Source organism: Homo sapiens, chromosome 5 (assembly GCF_000001405.40).
Source record: "Homo sapiens chromosome 5, GRCh38.p14 Primary Assembly".
Lineage (NCBI taxonomy): Eukaryota > Metazoa > Chordata > Mammalia > Primates > Hominidae > Homo > Homo sapiens.
In genome coordinates, this window is record NC_000005.10 from 140086951 (window position 1) to 140110746 (window position 23796).

Genomic DNA, 23796 nt, shown 5'->3' on the forward strand with positions numbered 1-23796 from the left:
GGGAGGCTGAGATGGGAGAATTGCTTGAGGCCAGGAGTTCAAGACCAGTCTGGGCAACTTAGCGAGACCCCACCTCTGTTTAAAAAAAAAGAGAGAGCACTAATGTATGTGAAAGAAAATATGCAGAAGACAGACTGTGAGAAGAAGAGAGGGAATAAGTCCCAGTGACACTATCCAGCCCCTAGCTCAAGGCATAACTAAGACAAATTACCCCTAGATTTTTCCATCATGTTAGTCAATAAGTTTCCATTGGTACTTAAGCTATTGTAAGTTAGATTTTCTGTCACATGCAACAAAAGAATCCTAAATGACTTGGGTCAGTTATTAAGGATTCCATGTGGCAAGGTTAGAAATTAGGGCTTTATCTTATGAGATGCCACTTGCTTAAAAGTTAACAATAAAGCAAAGTTTTAAAGCAGATATAAGGTATAATAAAAGTTATTTGGTGAATATCATACTTTTTGTTATCAAGGGAGGAAATTACCACCAAGAGTAATTTGTTTTGACGGGATAGCATAACAAGAGTAGAAATAAGATTAAGTCCCAAACTTGGCTGGGCTCTGGAACTAGAATACTTGCCCTCCATGTCATTCTATTGTAGCTAGATCTTAGTGCTTCTCAAATGTTCGATCCTATCTTTTACTTAGCCCAACTTTGATAGAGAAATTATTAGGCTTTGAGCAATTGAACTTCTTCTTCTTTTTTTTGTTTGAGAGGGAGTTTCACTCTTGTCACCCAGGCTGGAGTGCAATGGCACGATCTCAGTTCACTGCAACCTCTGCCTCCCAAGTACAAGTGATTCTCCTGCCTCAGCCTCCCAAGTAGCTGGGACTGAGTAGCTGCGGTGGTGCCCACCACCATGCCTGGCTAATTTTGTATTTTTACTAGAGACAGGGTTTCACCATGTTGGCCAGGCTAGTATCAGACTCCTGACCTCAGGTGTTCTGCCCGCTTTGGCCTCCCAAAGTGTTGTGATTACAGGTGTGAGCCACCACGCCCAGCCTGGGAGCAATTGAACTTCCTAGAGTATGGTTTATCTTCATAATATTTTCAAGATAATATAGGTTTTCAATGAATATGGTAGTGATAATGCTGCCTATTTTAACAGCCAATTAAATGTAACAGAAAATATAATGCCATATGAATGGTGCATCTAAAGCCACTGGATGTGAAATTCATATTTTCAATGTATAGTAATAATCATGTGATAGCAATAATTATTGATTTGTGAAAAAAGTTTAAAAGGAAAAATTAAGAAAGTTGGGTATTACTCATGGTTCTTTAATAGTTTTGTGTGATTGAGGATGGGCATGGTGACCCACGCCTATAATCCTAGCACTTTGAGAGGCCAAGGAGGAGGATCACCTGAGGTCAAGAGTTCGAGACCAGCCTGGCCAACATGGTGAAACCCCATCTCTACTAAAAATACAAAATTAGCCAGGCGTAGTGGTGCATGCCTGTAGTCCCAGCTACTCAGGAGGCTGAGGCAGGAGAATCGCTTGAACCTGGGAGGCAGAGGTTGCAGTGAGCCAAGATCATGCCATTGCACTCCAGCCTGGGCGACAAGAGTGAAACTCAGTCTCAAAAAAAAAAAAAGTTTTGTATGACTGAGTAAATCACTTTCCTTTTCTAACTCAATTTCCCTACTTAAAAAATCGGAAAATAGGCCAGGCACAGTGGCTCACACCTGTAATCCCAGCACTTTGGGAGGCCGAGGTGGGTGGATCACGAAGTCAGGAGATCGAGACCATCCTGGACAACACGGTGAAACCCCGTCTCTACTAAAAATACAAAAATTAGCCGGATGTGGTGGCACACGCCCGTAGTCCCAGCTACTCAGGAGGCTGAGGCAGGAGAATCGCTTGAACCGGGAGGTGGAGGTTGCAGTAAGCTGAGATCACACCACTGCACTCCAGCCTGGGTGACAGAGCAAGACTTGGTCTCAAAATAAAAAAAAATTAAAAAAAAAGGAAAATAATAATACTGCACTCATACTCCTGATACAAGGAGATTTAAACATGGCTTTGACCGTCTTCATCTATATTTATCAGGCACTTGAAGAACATCAGGGAAAGCTATTCTAGGAATAGAATAATAATAATGAAAGATAAAATGTATTGACTACCTACTATATTCTGGGTACTATTCCAAATGTTTTACATGTATTAAATCATGTATGCCCTACAACAACCCTATGAAATAAATCTAATTATCATCCCTATGTTACTGAGGCTCAGAAAATTTGTGATTCTTGCCCAAAAGCCAGAGCTAGCCATGATTTGAACCCAGGCATCTATAATGTCTCTGCACTTAGCTAATCATATGGTAAATAATCTAGAGTAAAATAATAAGCATGAAGAAACAACTCTGAGGAGTCAAAAGAGATGTCAAAAGTTTTTAAATGTTTTTTTGTTTTGCCATAAGGGATTCTCTTGGGCTAAAGAACTATTGACTTTTTATTTCAGGCACAATTTTAACAAGTTTGTCAATGTTTTTCAAATCCGTGGGAGAAGATAAGGACAAATAAAAATGCTGATTTCAAAGAGAAAAGAAGAAAGGGACAGCAAAATGAAAACACTGACAAAAATAACAAGATGCACAGTAAGTATGGGCCTCTTTAAGATAATGCAAACATACTTACCTACTACAACAGCCAATGAGGATATCACTGTGGTACAGCATAAATAACTGCCACTCCCAGTAACTACACTGAAGCCATCGATTAGAAGTTAAATGATGTATTTTAAAAGTCATCACTCTGTTTAAGAGAGGGTCAAGGTCCAGACAGAAGTCCCTCTCCCAGAGAAAGATTCCAATTAAAAGAAACCTGAGGATCCTAGAAACATCCTAGAAAGGATTCTAACCAAGCAAATGGGAAGTCCAGAACTCCCAAGGGAGATAAACATCTTCTCAGATAATTTTTTACTATCTTTGATGGACAAGATTAAGAGGACATGAGTTAAGAGGAACCTAGCCTCACACATTGTAGAAAAATAAGGACTGAAATAATCCTGGTCCTTTTTTTTTTTTTTGAGATGGGTTCTTGCTATGTTGCCCAGGCTTGTCTCAAACTCCTGGGCTCAAGCCATCCCCACAAAATGCTAGGATTGCAGGTATAAGCCACTGTGCCCAGCCAATCCTGGTTCTTTAAGTTAGAGCAAACTCCTCTCTTCTTCCAGGAAGATAATATTGGCTGCCTTGAGAAGAAAAACAAAAGATGCTTCTTTGCTTTAATCCAACATAGATGTAAGAACAAAATCTGATAAAGGTATCACAACTAAATAAATGCTACTGAGAAATCTTACTTAAGAATAATGATGGAAAATAGTAACTAAAATACTAGCAAACAAAATTCAGTGACATCTTAAGAGAATTAAACACCAGACCAAGTGAGATCATATCAGGAATGCAAGGATAGTTCAACATTAGGAAACTTATTGTGATAATCATATTAACAATCAAAAGAGAAAAGTATATTACCTTCTCTTTTGAGTGATTTATTGATTCATTCATCCCGACAATTATTTATTAAGCACCTACTATGTGCCAGGTGCTATACTAGATGCTTGGGATATGGCAGTGAGCCAAAATGGAAAAAATCTCTGCCCTCAAAAGCTTACATTTTCATCAAGGGAGATATACAACAAATGATTAAGCAAATAAATAATAACACCTGGTAGTGATAAGTGCTATGAAGAAAATAAAGCAGGCTAAAAGAGAATGATGGGAAGGATGCTATTTAATATAGGTGACTGGGGAAGGCCTCTCTGTTAAGATTATACTTGAGCAAGATCTAAAGGAGGTAAGAAAGCTAGCCAAGGGAATATCTGGGGGAAACTCATTCCAAGTAGAGAGAAAAGCAAATGCAAAGGCCCAGAACTGGGAGAGTGCTTAGCATTCTCCTAAGGTCACTGAAATGGCTGGACTAGAGTAAGCAAATTGGAGACTAGAAGAACACAAGATCAGAGAGGAGGAGGGCAGAGGAAACAAATCATATATGACCCGTAGGCCATAGTAAGGACATTGGCTTTTATTCTGATTGAGACCTATTATCACTAGAAGGTTTTGAATAGAAGCATGACATGATCTGGGCTCTGTAATAAAAAGACTGTTCTGACTGCTAGGTTGAGAACAGACTCCAGGGATAAAGGTAGAAGCAAGTGACGAGATAGGAGAATGCTGCAGCAGTACAAGTAAGAAATTATGGTGGCTGGTATTCAGGATGGCAGTAGTGAATGTGGTGAGAGGTGGTTACATTCTAAATATGTAACGAATTCTATTATACTATGAAGCTGCTGATGTACATGAAAATATTTAATCTGTATCAATTCAGTTTCTCCAGAGAAGGATCCTCTTATCTCCTCCCTAGGGATAGCAACAGTCTGGCTGCTAGCTTTCTGAAGCTGGGTCAGGAAAAATGCATAACATTCTGCTTTAGAGTTCAGTTTTATGTTTTTATACCATATCCTTGTTTTCATACCCATTCCTTAGAGCCTGATATACCCAAGTCCACATCCTTTCTAGTTCAATTTTTCCAAAGAAGATACCTTCTGTCTCCTGTATGGGGAAAGAGAGGAAAGTGTCTATTTGGGGTGGAAGTAGGAGTAAGGATCTGGGTCCTATCTGATCCTTATATAGACCTTCCAATAATCCAGCCCCTTTCAGCCCCTTCCCTCCTTGCACATATACTTCACCTGCTGTGGCTTTCTGAGGTTCCATAAGACAAATTAGTGTGCTTCTTGCTGGTGTTCTCTTCCTCTGCAGTACCTAGGTTTGAATTTCCTCTGCCTTGCTAAGTCATTTTTCATTTCTCCATCCACTTTTAGCCTTCATATACTATGCCTTCGGGTTAAAGATGTTTCCTAATGTCATTGAATATGGAGTCTGTGTTTTTATTTCTTGTCTTCCTCATACAAATATCTTTAAACATGTTAAAATATGCCTAATATCACTTAAATTAGAAAACAGCATGTTAAAACTTTAATAAGTTACTACTTTCCACCAACAGATTAGCAAACATCATTTACAAGGTTATTGGCAAGCTTCAGTTGCTTGCTGGCTGTTGGCTGGAAATCTCAGTCCTCTGCCATGAAAGCCTTTCCATAGGCAAGTTGCCTGAGTGTCCCCAAGACCAGGAGGCTGACTTCCCTCAGAACAAGTGAGAGAAGAGAGAGCTCAAGACAAAGGCTGCAGTGTTTTTTAAAATAGCTTTTTAAAGATATAATTCATATACCATACAATTCATTTATTTTCAGTGTACAATCCAATGGCTTTAGTATATTTAGTTTTGCATCCACCACCACAATCAATGTTAGAATATTTTCATTACTTCCAAAAGAAACCCCACACCCAGCCATCACCCCCAACCCTACCTTAACCCTAGAGCCCTAGGGAACTACCAATCTACTTTCTGTCTCTCTATATTTGTCTATTCTGGACATCGCACATAAATGGAATCATACAATATCTGGTCTTTTGTGACTGACTTATTTTACATAGTATGTTTTTAAGGTCTAACCATGTTGTAGCATGTGTATTTCATTTATTTTTATTAGGCGCTCTTTTCTTTTGCTGTCTTCTAGTGAAATTCCTTTTTATTTCTACTTATATATTCAGATTTTTTTTTTTGAGACGGAGTTTCACTCTTGTCGCCCAAGCTGGAGTGCAGTGGCACAATCTCGGCTCACTGCAACCTCTGCCTCCCGGGTTCAAGCGATTCTCCTGTCTCAGCCTCCCAAGTAGCTGGGATTACCGGCGCCCACCACCACGCCTGGCTAATTTTTTGTATTTTTAGTAGAGTCAGGGTTTCGCCATGTTGGGCAAGCTGGTCTCGAACTCCTGACCTCAGGTGATCCACCCGCCTTGGCCTCCCAAAGTGCTGGGATTACAGGCTGAGCCACCATGCCCGGCCCAGATATTTCTTTCTCTCACTTTTCTAGATCCAAGAAAGTCCTGGACCTTCTTGGCTCAGGCTCCAGGTTAATACTTCCTAGCTTCAGAAACAGTTCCCTTTGGAAATAACTGAGGTTCTAACTTGGTGTGTGATCCCTGGGTCCTTGCAGTCTTTTATAACCTGATCTTGCAAGTGACATACCACTACTACTGCCATGTTCTGTTGGTGATATAGGTGGGAGAGAACTACACGAGGGTGCATAGGAATCGTTGGGGGCCATGATGGAAGCTGCTACTGTAATGAGGATGTGGTCATGTTGCAATCCATGTTAGAAGTAAAGGCTTAAGCTCTAGCTTTGCCCCATCTTTTAGATCACCACTTACAGAATAACAAAAACAAAGCAAAACTCACAAACTCACACTGCTTGATATAAAAGAAGAGTCCCCACTTACAGGGAGCTCTGGCTGGAGTCAGTTTTTCAGCAGCACCTGATGTCCCTTAATGAATATACAAGTGAATATCCACCTTTATAGGAATGAGGAAATGGGGTTTAACACCTGCCTTTAAAAGAGAACATTGAAAGAAACCAATGGCTGATAGCAACTTGACTAATTACAGAGTTAGTTATATAAATAAAGTTGAAAAATACTCACCTGGCATAAACGTATTCACCTGGTGAATTATTACTTCCAAGAATAGTACCATACAGGAGAAAGTAACTACAACTTTCTTATGGTTTGTTCATGCATATTCACTCAGTATTTTTGTCAGTCAACAAATATTAATAGTTCAGAAGGGACTTTTGGACTCAATTAATAGTCTCCAAGTGCCCCTTTGGGATATGACACTATACTTAACAATATAATAAAGAAACAGAAACATAAAACCAACCCACAGTCACTTCCTTCAAAAATCTTTCATTCAAAGGCAGGAAAAAATAGACAAATTACAAAATGGTATTTGTTCATTTTTAAGGAAAATAAACACAAGTAGCCATAAAAGTTCATCTTAAAAATAAACATAGTGCCATTTGTCTTGAATCTCTTTTTCCATCTCCATGTGTTTTTATTGATAAAATTGTTTATATACAAAATGGCCTTTTCAAGTAAAAACACATATTTTAGGGTACAACGTAGCAGCACCATCTGTTTGGGCTTATTTTTCTTGTTAATGTGTGTGGGTCAGTTCAGCAGATAACAGTGATGAGTATTTGGGGTTTTGAAATTTCATTGACAGATTAATTGGTGTTGCATCATGTAACCATGTCAAAAGAGGGTAAGTTGAATCTCTTTGGTTCAATTAAAATATAGAGGAATGCAGGCCCAGGCACAGTGGCCCATGCCTGTAATCCTAGCACTTTGGGAGGTGAGGTAGGTGGATCACTTGGGGCCAGGAATTCAAGATCAGCCTGGCCAACATGGCGAAAACCCATCTCTACTAAAAATACAAAATTTAGCTGGGCATGGTGGCGCATGCCTGTAATCCCAGCTACCTGGGAGGTTGAAGCACGAGAATTGCTTGAACCTGGGAGGGGGAGGTTGCAGTGAGCCCTGATTGTGCCACTGCACTCCAGCCTAGCAGCCCTAGGAAACTACCAATCTACTTTCTGTCTCTATATATTTGCCATATATATATGAAAATACACAAAGATATCTTTACTAAACTTAGTTTAGTGGAAACATTCTAGATCATCAGATTGAAGGAAGCTTTATTTTAAAAAGTTTTGCAGATAGGTATATAAGCTCAAGACCAGATTAATTTGTGATAGTATAGGATAGTAAAGAATGTAATTTTACATATTTCCATTTTTGTAGACTATTAAGAAATTTTAGAGTGTGTATAATTTGGCGTTTATTTGCAAGATCAACTTAAAAGCAGCATTCAAACAACCCAGTTAGCAGCTTCCAGCCCATCTCAGTTTTTATGTCCCAGGCAGAAACTATCACACAAATAAATGGTTTTCACTCAAGGGAATTCCCAGGCACAGTAACGTCAAATCAAGCTGTAAGCTCTTAATATATAAAGGAAGAGGAAATTTACTTTAAGTAAGGATGACTCTTTCTTCCACTATATAAAAAAATAGACAAATACCATTTTACCCCACTAGATTAGCAAAAATTAAGAAGTATAACAATACCAAGCATTAAAGAGTACATAGAATTCTTATACACTGTGAGACAGAAAAAACTAGTTGGCATTAATTATCTCACAAGGTTGAATATTTGCATACTCTACAGTGCAGCAACTCTACTTCTAGGTGGAAACACTTGCATACATTACCATGAGGCCTGTATAAGACTATTTATAGCAGCAGTGTTTAGAATAATAATTTTCAAAAGCCTGGAAACAATCCCCCCAAGTATGTATCAACAGAACAATAAATTGCAGTATATTCACACAATAGAATGTTATATAGTGTTGAAAATGAAAGAACTATCATTGTATAGAATAACATGGATGAATCTTAGAAATGAATTCCAGAAAACTATACATTGGATGATAGCATTTTTATAAAGCTTAATAGCATGCAAATTAAACAACATGCTATTTTAACATTTTTGTGATGAAACTAAATTTTAAAAGGAAAACTGCAAAGAAATAATAAACATAAAATTTAGGATCCTAGTTTTCCATGACGGCAGAGGGGAAGAGATAGAGGAGAAACACAAAGGAGATACACGTTACTAGGAAATGTCCTAATTCTTGGTGTGGGTAGAGGTTCATGAGTATTCATTATGTTATTAAGTGTTATACTTAATATATGTGTTGCGTATATCTTTTGTATGTATTAAAAAGTAAATTTTTGGCTGGGCGCAGTGGCTCACGCCTGTAATCCCAGCACTTTGGGAGGCCGAGACAGGTGGATCACCTGGGGTCAGGAGTTCAAGACCAGCCCGGCCAACATGGTGAACCCCTGTGTCTACTAAAAATACAAAAAATTAGCCAGACATGATGGTGTGTGCCTGTAGTCCCAGCTACTCAGGGGGCTGAGGCAGGGGAATTCCTTGAACCTGGGAGGCAGAGGTTGCAATGAGTCGATATAGCACCATGTACTCCAGCCTGGGTGTTGCCGTGAGACTCAAAAAAAAAAAAAGCAAAATTTTAAGAGATTTAAGAGATTGGTCAAATTCATCCTCACCTCCTCCAAGTGAAAAATAAGAAAGCTGATTTTCACTCTGCATGTAAAGAAATTAAGGGTGGCATGGCCCTATCCTCAAATAGGAATGAAATAAAGAGTATTTTTTTAAATTATACTTTAAGTTCTAGGGTACATGTGCACAACGTGCAAGTTTGTTACATATGCAGAAATAAAGAGTATTTTTAAGGGACTAATCAGTCAGCTGGAGCCAAGAGAATGTAAGTGAAATTAAATCCACGTGAACTAAATGGGATTTTTTCCTCCCTAACATGCGAATGGAATGTGCAGTAAACTGAAACTCTTACCTGCCAGTAAGGAAATAAATTGAACTCCAGCCTGGATGACAGAGCGAGACTCCGTCTCAAAAAAAAAAAAAGAAAAAGGAAATAAATTGGGATGATGCAGAATGGAATCTCGGCATCACTAGGTGAAGTTAAGATTTACAGAGCTAAAAGGAGCAGGAGGGCCGGGGCGCAGTGGCTCACACCTGTAATCCCAGGACTTTAGGAAACCGAGGTGGGTGGATCACCTGAGGTCAGGAGTTCAAGACCGGCCTGGCCAACATGGTGAAACCTCATCTCTACTAAAAATACAAAAAATTAGCCGGGCATGGCGGTGGGCACTTGTAACCCCAGCTACTCAGGAGGCTGAGGCAAGAGAATTGCTTGAACCCAGGAGGCGGAGGTTGCAGTGAGCCGAAATCGAGCCACTGCACTCCAGCCTGGGCAACAAGAGTGAAACTCCGTCTCAAAAAAAAAAAAAAAAAAAAAACAATTTTAAAAAAGGAGCAGGAAAATTTCTAGAAAAACTGGAGTCCGAATAGAATACCTAGGAGAAAATGAAGGAAAACACACAAAGGCTAAATGAATTAATTCATTTATTCAACAAATCTTTTTTTTGCATAGACTCTGCGCCAGGGAGAGGGAAAGGGACTGGAGTCATCAAGATAATTAAGTCACAGTCCCCACACTCAAGGAACTCACACTCTAGTAATCAGGATGCCCAAGACTGAGAAAAGGGAAGAATACTTGGAGGTTTTCAAGAACAATGCAGTTGGTGAGGAAGAGAACAGTTTTAATCTTAGGCCAGAGGATAGTAATATATGGGAGCCTAGACACCACAGTCTCTTAGTGCTTTAACCTCTGTGAGCCTGCAATATAAGAAGGGGAGGGAGAGCTTGTGCTTGGCTTGGACCTGGAGAGAAGGGCAGAAATAAGTGATGCCACAGGCAGTGGGAGTCTACATTTATTGAGTTCTTACTATGTGTCAGATACTCTTCTAAATGCATCTTATGAATTAACTAATTTAATCCTCACAATATACCTATGTGCTAGTTACTATTATCATCCTTATTTGATAAGTGAGGAAACTGGGGCCTATAGAGGTTAAGTAATTTAATTTGCCCAAAGTTGCATAGGAATCTGAAAGCAGAGTTTTGAATCCAGGTGATTAGATTACACAGACCCATGTTCTCGACCACCACACCGAATAGAGGAGGGATGTTCTAAATAAAAGTTAGAAAAAACAGAAGATTTTCAAAAGTTGTTAATCTCACAAATTCATTAATGTGTGCTCTTATACAATCGAGGTATATTGTAACTATTAAATTTGCACACCCAAAACATAGTTACACCTTGTGAATATCACTGGGTGTGTCTCAAAAGTTTAGTACTGGACCCTATAGGAAGGTAGAATGTTGCAGAGGAACTAGTGGAGAACAGCTGTGTCTCTGGGTTGGTCCTATGAGAAAATCTCCTTTTTTTGATTCCTCATGAGATGGAGGCAGAAAGTTACCCAAGATAAGTCTTAGCAAAGCCTCCAATTTGTCATATAATAAATGGATATACTTTATAGCCAGTCTTAACACATGTACATATTTATTCAGTTTCTTTTTTTGGTTTCTCAGCAATTTAATAATGGACTTGTTGGCTAATTTCGTTCAGCATTGTGCTAATAAAGTAAAATTGATGGGTTGGGTTTAATTCCCTTTTAGCTCTGGTGGCCATGTATTGCACCCCAACCTTAGCAAACATGAGCTGTTGAGTGACCTCAGAGAAACTGTGTTTGGCTCAGAACAAGTCTATCAACGTTATACAAAAGGTAATGCTTTACATAAAGTGTGTCAGAACTTTTATCTTTGTATTCCGGGACAACACATTAATTTTCACAGAGAACAACACACGTGATTTGTTTAATGTCTACAATAGATCTTTGAGACAATCAGGAATAGATACTTGGAAACTTCAATATCCTATACTTATTCAAATTGACCCTACTATTTATATTACACAGGCATAGTAGTCTTTGACAAACCTCATGATCCAATATATACTCAATTCATCTTGCTTTTATATAGCCAGAAATAACTAAATTAAAAATAAAAATAGGCCAGGATCAGTGGCTCACGCCTGTAATCCTAGCACTTTGGGAGGCCGAGATGGGTGGATCACCTGAGGTCGGGAGTTCGAGACCAGCCTGACCAACATGGAGAAACACCATTTCTGCTAAAAATACAAAAATTAGCCAGGCGTGGTCGCACATGCCTGTAATCCCAGCTACTAGAGAGACTGAGGCAGGAGAATCTCTTGAACCTGGGAGGCAGAGGTTGCAGTGAGCCGAGATCACGCCATTGCACTCCAGCCTGGGCAATAACAGTGAAACTCCATCTCAAAAATACATACATACATACATACATACATACATACATACATACATACATACATAAGTAAATAAATAAAAATAAAAATAGGCCGGCTGTGGTGGCTCACACCTGTAATCCCAGCACTTTGGGAGGCCGAGGCAGGTGAATCACGAAGTCAGGAGATCAAGACCATCCTGGCCAACATGGCGAAACCCCATCTCTACTAAAAATACAAAAATTAGCTGGGTGTGGTGGCATGCACCTGTAGTCCCAGCTACTCAGGAGGCTGAGGTAGGACAATCACTTGAACCCGGGAGGCGGAGGTTGCAGTGAGCCGAGATCATGCCACTATACTCCAGCCTGGGCAACAGAGCGAGACTCTGTCTCAAAATAAACAAACAAACAAAAAATAATAGAATCTTTCATTTTTAAAATTTGTTTGTTTAGAGGCAGGGTCTTGCTCTGTCACCCGGGCTGGAATGCAGTGGTACTATCACAGCTAACCCTAACGTAGAACTCCTGGGCTCAAGCAATCCTCCTACCTAGCCTCCCAAGTAGCTAGGACAAAAGGCATGCACTACCACACCCAGCTAATTCTTTTAAAAAAAACTTTTTTTGCCAGGCGAGGTGCTCATACCTGTAATCCCAGAACTTTGGGAGGCCGAGGCGGGCAGATCACGAGATCAGGAGATTGAGACCATCCTGTCTAACACAGTGAAACCCCGTCTCTACTAAGAATACAAAAAATTAGCCAGGCATGGTGGTGGGCGCCTGTAGTCCCAGCTACTCGGGAGGCTGAGGCAGGAGAATGGTGTGAACCAGGGAGGTGGAGCTTGCAGTGAGCCGAGATTGCGCCACTGCACTCCAACTTGGGCGACAGAGCAGACTCCGTCTCAAAAAAAAACAAAAAAACAAAAAACCTTTTTTTAGGGATAGGGTCTCGCTAGCTTGCTCAAGTTGGTCTCAAACTCCTGGGCTCCAAATATCCTCCCACCGCAGCCTCCCAAAGTGTTGAGATTACAGGCGTGAGCCACCAAGTCCAGCTTACCTCAGTTTCTGATTGCTTATGGAAGAACCCTTACCTAAGGGCAAACTAATGAAAAAAAAAATCAATTCCAACTCAAAAACACATATTTAATATGCCTAAAACAAAGTGATCTGAAACAATGCAATTCATTAAGTGAGAGAAACCTACAGGGTTTCACTTAACAGGTGCTTCTGCTCAGCAAACTAGATCTAAATTTTTAAAATTTTATTTTTTAATTGACACATAATTTTATATATTTATAGGTATATAGTGATGTTTTGATGCAGACAAGGTATAATGATCAGATTAGGGTAATTAACATATTTATCATCTCAAACATTTGTCTTTTTTTCTGTTGGCAACATTCAATGTCCTCCTTCTAGCTATCTGAAACTATGTATTACTGTTAACTATAGTCACCCTACAGTGCTGTAGGACACTAGAAGTTATTCCTCCTATCTAGCTGTAATTTTGTATCCTTTAACAAATCTTTCCCTATTCTCCCTTTCCCCTACCCTTCCCAGCCTCTAGTATCCTCTGTTCTACTTTTTACTTCTGTGAGACGAACTTTTTTTAGCTTCCACATATGAGTGAGAACATGCAGTGTTTAACTTTCTGTTCCTGGCTTATTTCACTTAACATAATGTCCTCTACTTCCATCCATGTTGCTGCAAATGACAGGATATCATTCTTTTTTATGGCTGAATAGTATTCCATTGTGTATATATATATATATACATTACGTTTTCTTTATTCATTCACCTGTTGTTGGACTTGTGGGTTGATTCCATATTTTGGCTATTGTGAATAGTGCTGCAATAAATACGGGGATGCAGATGTCTCTTCGATATACTTTCTTTTGGATAAATGCCCAGTAGTGAGGTTGCTGGATCATATGGTAGTTCTATTTCTAGTTTTTTGAGAAACCTCCATACTGTTCTCCATGGTAGCTCTACTAGTTTACATTCCTGCCAGGATAGAAGAGTTCCCTTTTCTCTGCATCCTCATCAGCATTTGTTATTTTTTTGTCTCTTCATCCTAACTGGGGTGAGATGATACCTCATTGTGGTTTTGACTTGCATTTCCCTGATGCTTAGTGATGTTGAGCATTTTTTCATATATTTCTTGGCCATTTATATGTCTTCTTTTGAGAAATGTCTGTTCAGATAATTTGCCCATTTTTAAACTGGATTGTTTGCTGTTGAGATGTTTGAGTTCCTTGTACATCCTGGTAGATCCAAATTTCTGATGTGATCTGACATCTGACAAAGCCACAACAGTAAAGGAAATGCCTCATAATTATCCAAAGATATTCAGAGGAAAGGAAAAGGATGGTGAAAGTTAATGTTAGCGTGAAAACTTAACAGACCAAGAATGAGGATAAGTAAATCTCCAACTTCAACTGGAAACAGAAATGGCTGAAATTAGGGCAGGAACAAATACAATTTTTAAAAATATTGAGAGACACCAATTTGTAAAGAAAATGTAAAATGTTGATGTCTGGTATTTCAAAGTAGATGTAAAAATCATGCTCTTGGAAAGGGCTGATACTCAAAACTTCTTCAAAGTAAGTTAAATATAAATACTACAGGCATGGGGTGGGGGAAAGGAGAGGAGAAGGAAAAGGCAGAGTTAGTTTAAATTGTGCAAGCTATGGAGGAAGACTGAGTTCTAGCTCTGCTATTTAGTAACTGTGATTTGGGCAGGTGTCTTAATCTCTGCGTCTCAGTGTTCTCATCCATAAAATGGGAATAATAGAATTTACTCATAAAGTTGTTGTTAGCATTTTATTAGCTAATATATAGAGTGCTTATGCAATGCCAGTATATAATAAGGGCACTATATAGCATTATACTTCTAAAAACAATGTATCTAAAGATTAACAACAATGGTAACATTTAATCAGAAAATCAAGAAGAAATCTGACACAGATCTACAATCCCTTATCCAAAATTCTTGGGAACACGTGTTTCTGGATTTAATTTTTTTTATATTTTAGGGTACAATACATTGTATTATCTATATTTTACTTAATGTGTAGCAACCCTTCATCAAACACACTAATGTTTCTACAATGAAATGTATCAGTAGTCACACTAAATGGAATAAATACTTTTTTTTTTTTTGAGACAAGAGTTTCGCTCTGTCACCCAGGCTGGAGTGCAGTGGCAAGATCTCGGCAACCTCCACCTCCCAGGTTCAAGTGATTCTCGTGCCTCAGCCTCCCAAGTAGGTGGGACCACAAGCATGTGCCACCACACCCAGCTAATTTTTGTATTTTTAGGAGAAATGGGATTTCACCATGTTGGCCAGGCTGGTCTCAAACTCCTGGCCTCAAGTGATCCTCCTGCCTTGGCCTCCCAAAGTGCTGGGATTATAGGCGTAAGCCACTGCACCTGGCCCATAAAGGATAATTTTAAATAGATTCATGTCAGTTCAGATTTTGCCACTAAATGAATTAAGAAATTTTTTTGTATTTTGGAATTACAGATAAGGGATTGTGAAGCTGTATCTGTAGAGCCATAAATCTTATGTATTAAATAATAGAATAATCATTAAGGGAAATATACAGCAATAATGATATTAAATGAAAAACTTTTCTGAAAACCTAATGAGTACCCAGAAAACCTAATAAGTTTGTTTTTCACTTAAGAAAAAACAAAAAAATGTATATATAGTTATCATACAGGATGTTACTTGACTTAACACTTGGGTGACTTTTTTGTGACATAAATTGTCCACAATGCCTGCCTGGAACATCTCCCTAAATGTTCCCGTGACTGACTATTTCAGATCTCTGTTCAAATGTTACTTCTTCAGACAGGCTTCCTTGATCACTCTATTTAAAATACTGGGTGAGCGGCATGCATGGACACTTTCACATACAATCACACAGAAACTCTCTTTCCCCTTTCCTATTTTCTTCTTCTTTTTAGCACTTATCACTATCTAGCATTATATTATACATTTGTTTACTGTCTTACATAGACTGGAAACTCTATGACAGCAGACATTTCATTTTGTTCAAGCATCTGGAACAACGTCTGGTAAACAGACATTTGATAAATATTGTTCAAAACATGACCCAAGAAAATAAGGCTGACTGAAAAACAACAAAGAATTCCAAGAACTAGTCCTGACATAGCAGGCCATACCTACTTTCCAGAAATTCAAGGCCAGAAAAAAAAGAGCCATCTAAACACCAACTGTAATATGTTTATGTAAGGTGTCTATTTTTATAGTAATATAAAAAAACTCTTCATCATAAACATACTTAAGTAAATATTTATTTCCGATCTAGGAAATATAAGCTAATCATTACATTTACTTTATCTTAAATTTTATTTTTTATTGATACAAAATACTTGTACATATTTTGGGGATACATGTAATAATTTAATACATTCATATAATTTGTAAAGATCAAATCAGTGTAATTGGGATATCTATCATCTTAAATTTTTGTCTTACGTTATTTCAATTATTCTCTTTTAGCTATTTTGAACCATACAATAGGTTATTATAAACTATAGTCACCCTACTGATTTATCATTATCAAACTGTATATTTCTATCCATCAATCAACCTCTCTTCATCCCTCCTCTCCTCTCCCCTTCTCAACCTCTGGTAACCACCAATCTACTCTCTGTCTTCATGAGGTCAGTGCTGGGATTACTTGCATGAGCCACTGTGCCCCGCCAGGATTTCATTCTTTTTTATGGCTGAATAATATTCCATTGCATATCAATCACATTTTCTTTAACCATTCATCCACTGATGGGCACTTAGGTTGATTCCATATTTTGGCTATTTCAACAGGACTTCAATAAACATGAGAATGCAGCTATCTCTTTAATATGTTGATTTCCTTTCTTTTGAATATATACCCACTAGTGTAATTGCTGGATCACATGGTAGTTCTACTTTGTTTTCGGAGGCACTTCCATACAGTTTTCCATAGTGGCTGTACTAATTTACATTCTCATTGACAGTGTACGAGGGTTCCCCATTCTCCACATCCTTCCACCAGTATTCATTATTCCCTATCTTTTTGATAAAAGCCATTTTAACTGGGATGAGATGGTATCTCATTGTGCTTACATTTACATTTTATAATTAATTTTGAGTATTTAAGTAGACAAGAAAAAGTATGCTCAAAATATAAAAATGATTACTATAACACAAAATATTAAAGAAATAACTGACTTTATATTTTTCACTTGGAGTATTGTCTTGATTTCTTCCCCTGACACATTTTAATCACCACAGAAAGAAATCCCACCGATCTTCTTCATCTAATTGCAAAGTGCTACTGCATTAGGTTATAAAAATGGCCTGGATTAGCTTCAGAAGGCACTGGTGTCTGGTTGTATGTAAGCAAGCAGAGGAGTTTTAGAGCTACCACAAAATATGCAACAAAGTTCAATAGTGCTATCCAGTTCAGATAGATCCACTCTTTGGAAAAGCCCAGCTTTCTTCTCCATCTCTAAGTTCATCCACATGTTAGTTCTGACATCTGAATTACGTTTAAAAACAAGGAAAGAAAATAAAGGTGCAAATAAGAATTTAGGTCACACTCTTTGTAAAAGTATCAAGAATAACTACCATTTTCAAATTGTCATACTTGTAGCCTACAAATTTACATTTTGCTGATTATGGTAAATGTAAGACAACAGTATCATTTCAACATCTGTTACTTTTACTTTGGTATTTTATTCTTGCCATTACTCTTAAATGATAAAGAAAAATATGCTTCAATAGTACTTAATCAATGACTTTCAAACTGTTATCCCACATTCTATAAGGATTTTCTGTAAGAATTACTTGAAAAAAATAATGGAAATTGAGATTGTATACATTTTCTATTGGAAGAGGAACCCTTGGAATAAAACAAATTAGCACACACATCTGGCTCAGGTGCTGTTAACCAATGATTCCAGAATGGGAGGAGATGGGTTAAAAAGATGAAGCCAGACAACTGATACTAAAAAAGATCAGAGACTCATAGTTACATAAAATTTGACAAATGAGATCAAGTTTAAATAATTACTGGTCCCTTTGCTCTCAAGTTATTGTTTAGTGAGTTTCATCTGGATAAACACATTTTGGTGGTGGTGTAGTTAGGAGGATGAGGAATGATTTTCCCCAGCTTTATACCCTCAACAGAGAGGGTTCTGCTTACCTGCTTATGAAAACCAATTCGATACCATGTTAGCCTTTAAGGAGTAAACTAAAGGATTCACTTTAATAACTCCAGTATCAACAAAGAAAAAGCTGTCCTTGCTTAAACCAAAAATTCAAGATTGCTACTATATAGTATGTTTCAGTGCACATATCAAGTCTACAAGTCTCACACTTCTGACCCTTGTCTTCAAGTCCCTAAACTGGAATAAAACTAGATAAATGCCTGAGGAACCACTTCACACCCTAAACACGTGCAAACTTTGTTCAACAGAACATTTTACTGCCAAAATGGAGTTGGCAGAAGTTTGGAGCAAAGGCCCCCAGGCTGCATGATTTGTTGGCACCAGACAGCTTAAAAATCTTAACATAATACTGCAGAGTTTGAGTACTACCAATTTGCTTGAGACTCCTCCTCCAAGTTTGACTTGAGATAGATGGAAGACGCCATAAAGAAAGACTATTAACACTTCATCCTCTATCCAGAAATGCTTTTATTTCTCACTCCTGATTGTCATACCTCTATATTCCTTGGTGGTTGTATTTACACGGTAAATCAAATGGAGTCTATTTTGAAATGCATATAAATTCAATTGTATTGTGTTGCTTGGATAAAGGGACACAGGGAGAACTACTATAAATACATAAAATTAATTATGACAAAGTTCTACTTAGAAAACACTTGATCCAAATAACCCCCATATATCACAATTTTTTACCCTAAAAATGTGGGAGAAATTAAGATACAGAATTACCTGTAAATTGCTACCATTTTACATTTGGTTCAGCTTGTCTTCTCACTTCTGTAAGTCTGAATGACGGTAGTTTATCTTGTATGTGAACAATTTAGGAAAGCCAGGAAAGAAGCCAAGTAGAGTTCTCTTCAACAAGGGTCAACAATAAAGTCTTGGAAATCTTCATAAGCTTGATGCTGTTAATTAGGAAAAACTGCATCGGAATTTTTAAATTACAGTTGAGTACAAGCAACTATATAACTAGCAACTTCGAACCTGTAAATGCTTGATAAATATGCAGTACTGAGAAAGGATGGTTTGCTTTGGAAGGTTATCTTGTCCTATGTTTCAATAAAAGACAAGGTTTAAAGAGATGCTACTTGCTCCTCATACACCTAAAAAACTTTTTTCTTGAAACTTTCTAATGTTTTCCCTCCGTAGCTCCATGTATTTTATTAATGTGTCTGATAGCCTTTGTTTTTCCTCCTCTAGAACCTCCAAGTTTTCTAATTCTCAGCTATGATTTTAGATCATTAAATCACCAGTTTCTAATCTCCACAATACAGTTGGAAACATTTAGGACAGAATATCCTTTAGGATATTAAGATGCAGAAGACTGTACTTCGAAGGATATTTATATAGTAGTGCTGCCACCTAAAGATGAGGTGAATATAAAGAAGCAATTCAAAGGAAATGACCCATCACCCTTAAGCCAGTCTCATTTTCTCACCTCCAGCTAGGAATTAATAAGCGTGTTGCTGTTGTTGTTGTCATTAACAGGGAAGTTGAACTGTTTCGCAATCACTTATTTCTGAGCTTTAATCCTCTGTGCCAGATAATTTCAGACTCAAACCTTTTCTAGTCCTCTGCGATTCTTCTCAGCCATCAGGCACTGCCTACAATACGTAAGAGGCAGCAAAAGATACTTGGAAAAAAACAATTGAGAGATTTCTGGTTTAGTGAATAAAGCAGGCAATAATAGACCTTAGAGTTTTCCCTTTATCAGTGATAGACTCCTCACAATGCTGAACAACTGACTTACATTTTGATAACTAAATTTTCATCTGTAAAATGGGAGTAATTATACCTTAGTCCTACTTGCCTCGCAGGCTCAACTAGATATGCTTCTGGGAAAGATTCTCTAACAAGTGAGTTTAAAAGTCTACCACTGCCTAACAAAGAGGGATTTTGTGGTATATTTGCAAAGTAACTTCAAAACAAAATAGTTAAATAGGTTGAGGCAATGATTAAGTTTTCCTAAATCACAGTTTGACTTCTCGGAGGTCTATTTAAATAATGATAAAGATGATAAATGCAGTTTTTATTTTGCTGCAGTTATTAGCTGATCCACGTTCCATCTACGTATTCAGTGTTGCAGGATGGAGACGTGACAGCGTAGAAAGCGAGCAAAAGCGTTACCGTGCACCAAAAATCTTGTCAAACTTGATACGATTTCAAGAAGACTGTCTTAAAGGACATTTTATAATTTCACATTTAGCCCTTGCATAGCATTTTATGAAAATTAACTTTTACCCTTTCCCCCTCGGCCCAAGGAAGTCGCATTCCCTCAAAGGGGCCCGGCTTCAACATATTACACTGCGTGGGAGGCTGGGCAGCAACCCCACGCTTCCTGTCAAGGATTCCTGGGGCCAGAGCCTGAAAAGTGCTCTAGCCACTCTTCTCTATGCTAATTCTGTCCTTCCGACCCCTCTTGGCGGGTGTCTGAGGGCCAAGGTGAGACTTTCCCCGGAGATGAAAGGCCTATTGCCTCTTCAGAGACCCGGGCGGAGTTGGGGCGGGGGTGCCGCGTGATAGGGTGGTAGCAGAAGTCGCAACGACGCACAGGGCCCTAAGTTGGAGCTGGCGCAGGCCCTTCAGGGTTCTATCCCCGCCAGAGCCTGGCTTCGGCCTTCAGAAGCCAAACGAGTAATAGGTCCTTCTGGGGCGCTGTGGGCGGTGGGTGGAGGAAGTGTGGGCGGAGAGGCCACAGACATCCCCCTCCTCAGACGCGCCCCAAGGCCTGGCCCGCGGAATGTTGACGCGCCAGGAGCCGATAGGGCGCGCTCACGCGCGAGAAGGGGGCGGAAAGAGCGCGCTCGGCGGCCGCCGCGGCGGCAGCTAAAACGGAGGGACGCGAGAGCGAAGGGCGCGAGCCACGGAGTTGGGAGGAGGGGTGGGGAACGCGGAGCGCGCGCTGACGTCGCCTGGAGTCACGCACGGAGCGCCGGGTTACGCGCCGACGTCTGGCTGCCACGACTTGCCGTCTGCGGCGGCGGCGGCGGCGGCGAGCGGATCCCGCAGGGGAAGGAGGAGGAGGAGGGAGAGCCAAGGGGGCTGTGAGTGAGCGGGAGAAGCAGGGTGTGAGCCGGACTTGCCCATGGGAGGGAGAGCGAGCGAGAGCCGAGCCAGCCATCCGAGCCGCCTCCTCCTCCTCCCCTCGGCGTCCCGCCCCCGCCCGCCAGCCCGCCCTCCTTCCTCCTCAGCCCGCAGAGCCTAAGTGAGGCGCAGCTCGGCTAGCGCCGCTGTCCAGGACAGGTGTGCGCGCGCGCGCCCTCCTCCCCTCCCCCCTTCCTCGCGCCTGTCTCGCGCGCGCCCTCCCTCCCGCCAGCCTGCGCCCTCCCTCACCTGCGGCAGGACAGCGCCCGCCCGCCCGGGTAAGCCCCTCGCGACCTTCCCTGCTGCCACTGCCACAGCTCCAGGTGACGCTCGCCCCGTCCCCTTTACTTGCTCTCTCAGCCCAGGAATAATTATAGTACCATTGCAGACATCCCCGCACCCTCCCTCTTGGAGACCCAGGCGGTGCAGCAACGTTCTCTCCCACCCCCCGCAGCGAGAAACGAATGAACCCCCTCCTACTTTCAAAAGAGAACAAAATAACACGCCCCTTAAGAAAAGAGGCGATCCTACCTCCGCAGGCGCTGGAGACCACCAGTGATGCGTTTGCTTAGCAATCCCTGAGCCCCATTTCCCCTGGCCGCCTTCGCCCTGGGGCCTGGGACTGTGCGCTAGACGTGGCTGACACTCCCTGCACGGCAACCCTGGAAGGAGGGAGAGGAAGGAGAGTTCTATAACCCAGGCTTCACTGCCAACCCCTCCTCTGTTCGGTTCCCCCCACCCCACTACCACCAAATGCATACACCCGCCCAGGATGCGTTGTAAAAACAAAACAAAACCAGGAAAAAAAAAAAAAAAACCTTTGGTGCTGACATCGCAGATGAAGCCGGGCCCAAAGATGGGTGGCCCGAACAAGGCATTTTTACTGCCCCACAGCGCTGGGTCAGCTCCACAGCTCCTCTGCCTTTGTCCGAGGGCAAAAGGAACGGATGTGAAGCTGAGGGGTCTTCTCTGTGAGCGGCGGTGGGCCCCGGAGGCGGGCTGTGATGTTTGTAGGGGAAGGCACCCAACCAATATATCTGCCATAAACCTGAACTTGGGTTGGAGAGCCCCCAGAGACTGGCTGGGGTAACTGGTTCGTAGCTGTCTACCCCGGAATAAATGCCACCTTCTTTTCCGCGGTGTCTGCGGGACCCTCTGTTGGGGGTTCTAATTCGTTTTGGCCTGGGCTCCTTACATTTCTGTCCGGCCAGGCGCTTTTGGACAGCTTTTCGCAGCGGTGTCTAAGCTTGTGTTCGGTGTCCTTGGAAGGGAGGTCCCAGAGCTTTACAATAGGCTGGATTTGGTTTGACATCTTTTGGTGGACTGTCAAAGGGGAAAGGAAATTTTTGGATTACTTCAAGATCCCCCACCGCCCCCGCCCAACTGACGTTTGCGAATTGCGGCTTTGGAAATTGGAGTGTTGACTAGAGTGTGGAGAGAGAGTTGCTGATTTCATTGCTTTGAGTACTAGTAAAACCATTTAAGTATCAGCCGGAAGGGAGACAGCTATTGACATTTACATCGGTTCTGTTTGGACCTTTGGGGTACATAAAATGTCGGGTTCTCTGAATTTTTTATCGAATTTAGAATGTCTGCTACATTTATTTAACTTCTGCAAATGCTTAAAATGAAAACATTTTGGAAATGCGAGGATTTTTATCAAGTGGATTGTTCTCTTCATATATTAAATGTTTACTTCATATCTTTAATCCGAAACATTAAAATAGCATTGAAGAGGCATGATTTTCAAGATTAAGTGAGCTATGGAAAAGGAATACGCTTTTAAAGAACGATCTGGGAAATGCTGTTACTATTAGTCATTGTTGTTGTTAAATGTTAAGATTTATTTGAGAGTTTCTCAATTTTTTTGGTAGACAGTCATGAGAAGAAATGGCTAATTCCTCCACTTTGAACATTTACAGTACAACATCCCAGTTAGTTTTAATGATTTGGGTATTGAAGATAGTTGTCTGGTTTAAGACTGGTATTTAATCTAAGTATCACTTGAAAACACAAGCTCTAATGTTCTTTATTTTGGAAATTTGTGATTTTGTAAAATATTAATCAACATATTGTTTCTATTAGGAACTCTATAATCAGAAGGGTTTACTACCCAGAGGTAGACAACCTCTTTCCAAGTCTATTTTATAAATGTGTGTTGATTTTTACTTTATAAAACCAAAACTGAATTAGATTATTTCAGAATCACCTGTAGTCAGGCTGAAGAAAATTAAAGCTTTTTTCTTTTTTGTTCTGCCTAATGTGTATTTCTTTGCGCACAATTTTTTGTTGGTAAGAGTTTGTTAAATACATAGAGACAGTGGGATTAAAAATAAAGCAGTCTCTATTCTCTTTAAAATGTGTCTGTTGTATTAATAATAAAAGGGCTCAAGAAATCTAGAGACATTATGTCTTTGTAAGCATATTGTGAGGAGAAAGGAAATGTTTACTTTTTGATGTTTTTCATTAACATGGATTTTTGCTGCATATTAATTTGCTGTATATTTCGTTTTCCCTTTGTCTTTCCTACATTCTAATGAAATTATACATTTAGTTTTACAACTATTTGTTTTACATTAACAAATTCAAACAGCTGGATACTAGAACAGACTTCATTCACCAAGTTAGTATATTGTTTAGATTATTAACAAATGGTTAGAAGTCTTAAAATCCACTTATTTTCTAATGACTTTTCAGTGTTACAATGCAAATATAACTGTGAAGTTTTATTTAAAGTTTAAACTTTTTGTTTTAAGACTTCTGGAAGTTTATATTCATTTCTCCCAGATTGCCTTTTAAGGCTAC

The 23796-nt window shown here is 39.9% G+C and overlaps 1 protein-coding gene and 1 long non-coding RNA gene across 5 annotated transcripts, besides 5 other annotated features; both read right to left on the minus strand.

The window, feature by feature from the left end:
• Positions 1–15971: 15971 nt before the first annotated feature.
• Positions 15972–21062, minus strand: MALINC1 (mitosis associated long intergenic non-coding RNA 1). 3 transcript variants are annotated; one of them, NR_102741.1, is made up of 4 exons: positions 20459–21062; positions 19346–19540; positions 18637–18812; positions 15972–17216 (listed from the first exon to the last, which is right to left on the minus strand). It is a non-coding gene; the product is annotated as a mitosis associated long intergenic non-coding RNA 1 (long non-coding RNA). The 3 variants fall into 3 exon arrangements; NR_102740.1 differs by having other exon boundaries at positions 19346–19511; positions 20149–21062; NR_102739.1 differs by having other exon boundaries at positions 19346–21062.
• On the minus strand, positions 15972–22319 carry LOC124900193 (uncharacterized). Of its 2 annotated transcripts, none has more exons than XM_047417989.1 (4): positions 20834–22319; positions 19346–19511; positions 18637–18812; positions 15972–17216 (listed from the first exon to the last, which is right to left on the minus strand). In XM_047417989.1, the coding sequence occupies exon 1, from the start codon at positions 22033–22035 to the stop codon at positions 21109–21111; it is 927 nt and encodes a 308-aa protein (XP_047273945.1). In that variant the 5' UTR covers positions 22036–22319; the 3' UTR covers positions 15972–17216; positions 18637–18812; positions 19346–19511; positions 20834–21108. The 2 variants fall into 2 exon arrangements, with proteins under 2 accessions (XP_047273945.1, XP_047273946.1); XM_047417990.1 differs by having other exon boundaries at positions 18637–18829.
• Positions 20162–20261: an enhancer, noted in NCBI's record as "active region_23259". NCBI's record gives its function as "activates an Ori minimal core promoter by ATAC-STARR-seq in GM12878 lymphoblastoid cells {active_cell/tissue: GM12878}" and the evidence as "EXISTENCE:reporter gene assay evidence [ECO:0000049][PMID:35858748]".
• Positions 20792–20861: a silencer, noted in NCBI's record as "silent region_16440". NCBI's record gives its function as "represses an Ori minimal core promoter by ATAC-STARR-seq in GM12878 lymphoblastoid cells {active_cell/tissue: GM12878}" and the evidence as "EXISTENCE:reporter gene assay evidence [ECO:0000049][PMID:35858748]".
• Positions 20892–20951: a silencer, noted in NCBI's record as "silent region_16441". NCBI's record gives its function as "represses an Ori minimal core promoter by ATAC-STARR-seq in GM12878 lymphoblastoid cells {active_cell/tissue: GM12878}" and the evidence as "EXISTENCE:reporter gene assay evidence [ECO:0000049][PMID:35858748]".
• Positions 20962–21221: a silencer, noted in NCBI's record as "silent region_16442". NCBI's record gives its function as "represses an Ori minimal core promoter by ATAC-STARR-seq in GM12878 lymphoblastoid cells {active_cell/tissue: GM12878}" and the evidence as "EXISTENCE:reporter gene assay evidence [ECO:0000049][PMID:35858748]".
• Positions 21372–21873: an enhancer, noted in NCBI's record as "H3K4me1 hESC enhancer chr5:139487907-139488408 (GRCh37/hg19 assembly coordinates)". NCBI's record gives its function as "activates a minimal SCP1, AML or CMV promoter by ChIP-STARR-seq in primed H9 embryonic stem cells {active_cell/tissue: H9 hESC(primed)}" and the evidence as "EXISTENCE:reporter gene assay evidence [ECO:0000049][PMID:30033119]".

What these genes read in the sequence shown, in the direction of transcription:
- LOC124900193 (XM_047417989.1), bottom strand. Translation starts at nt 22,035, where the DNA reads ATGGCAGATATATTGGTTGGGTGCCTTCCCCTACAAACATCACAGCCC.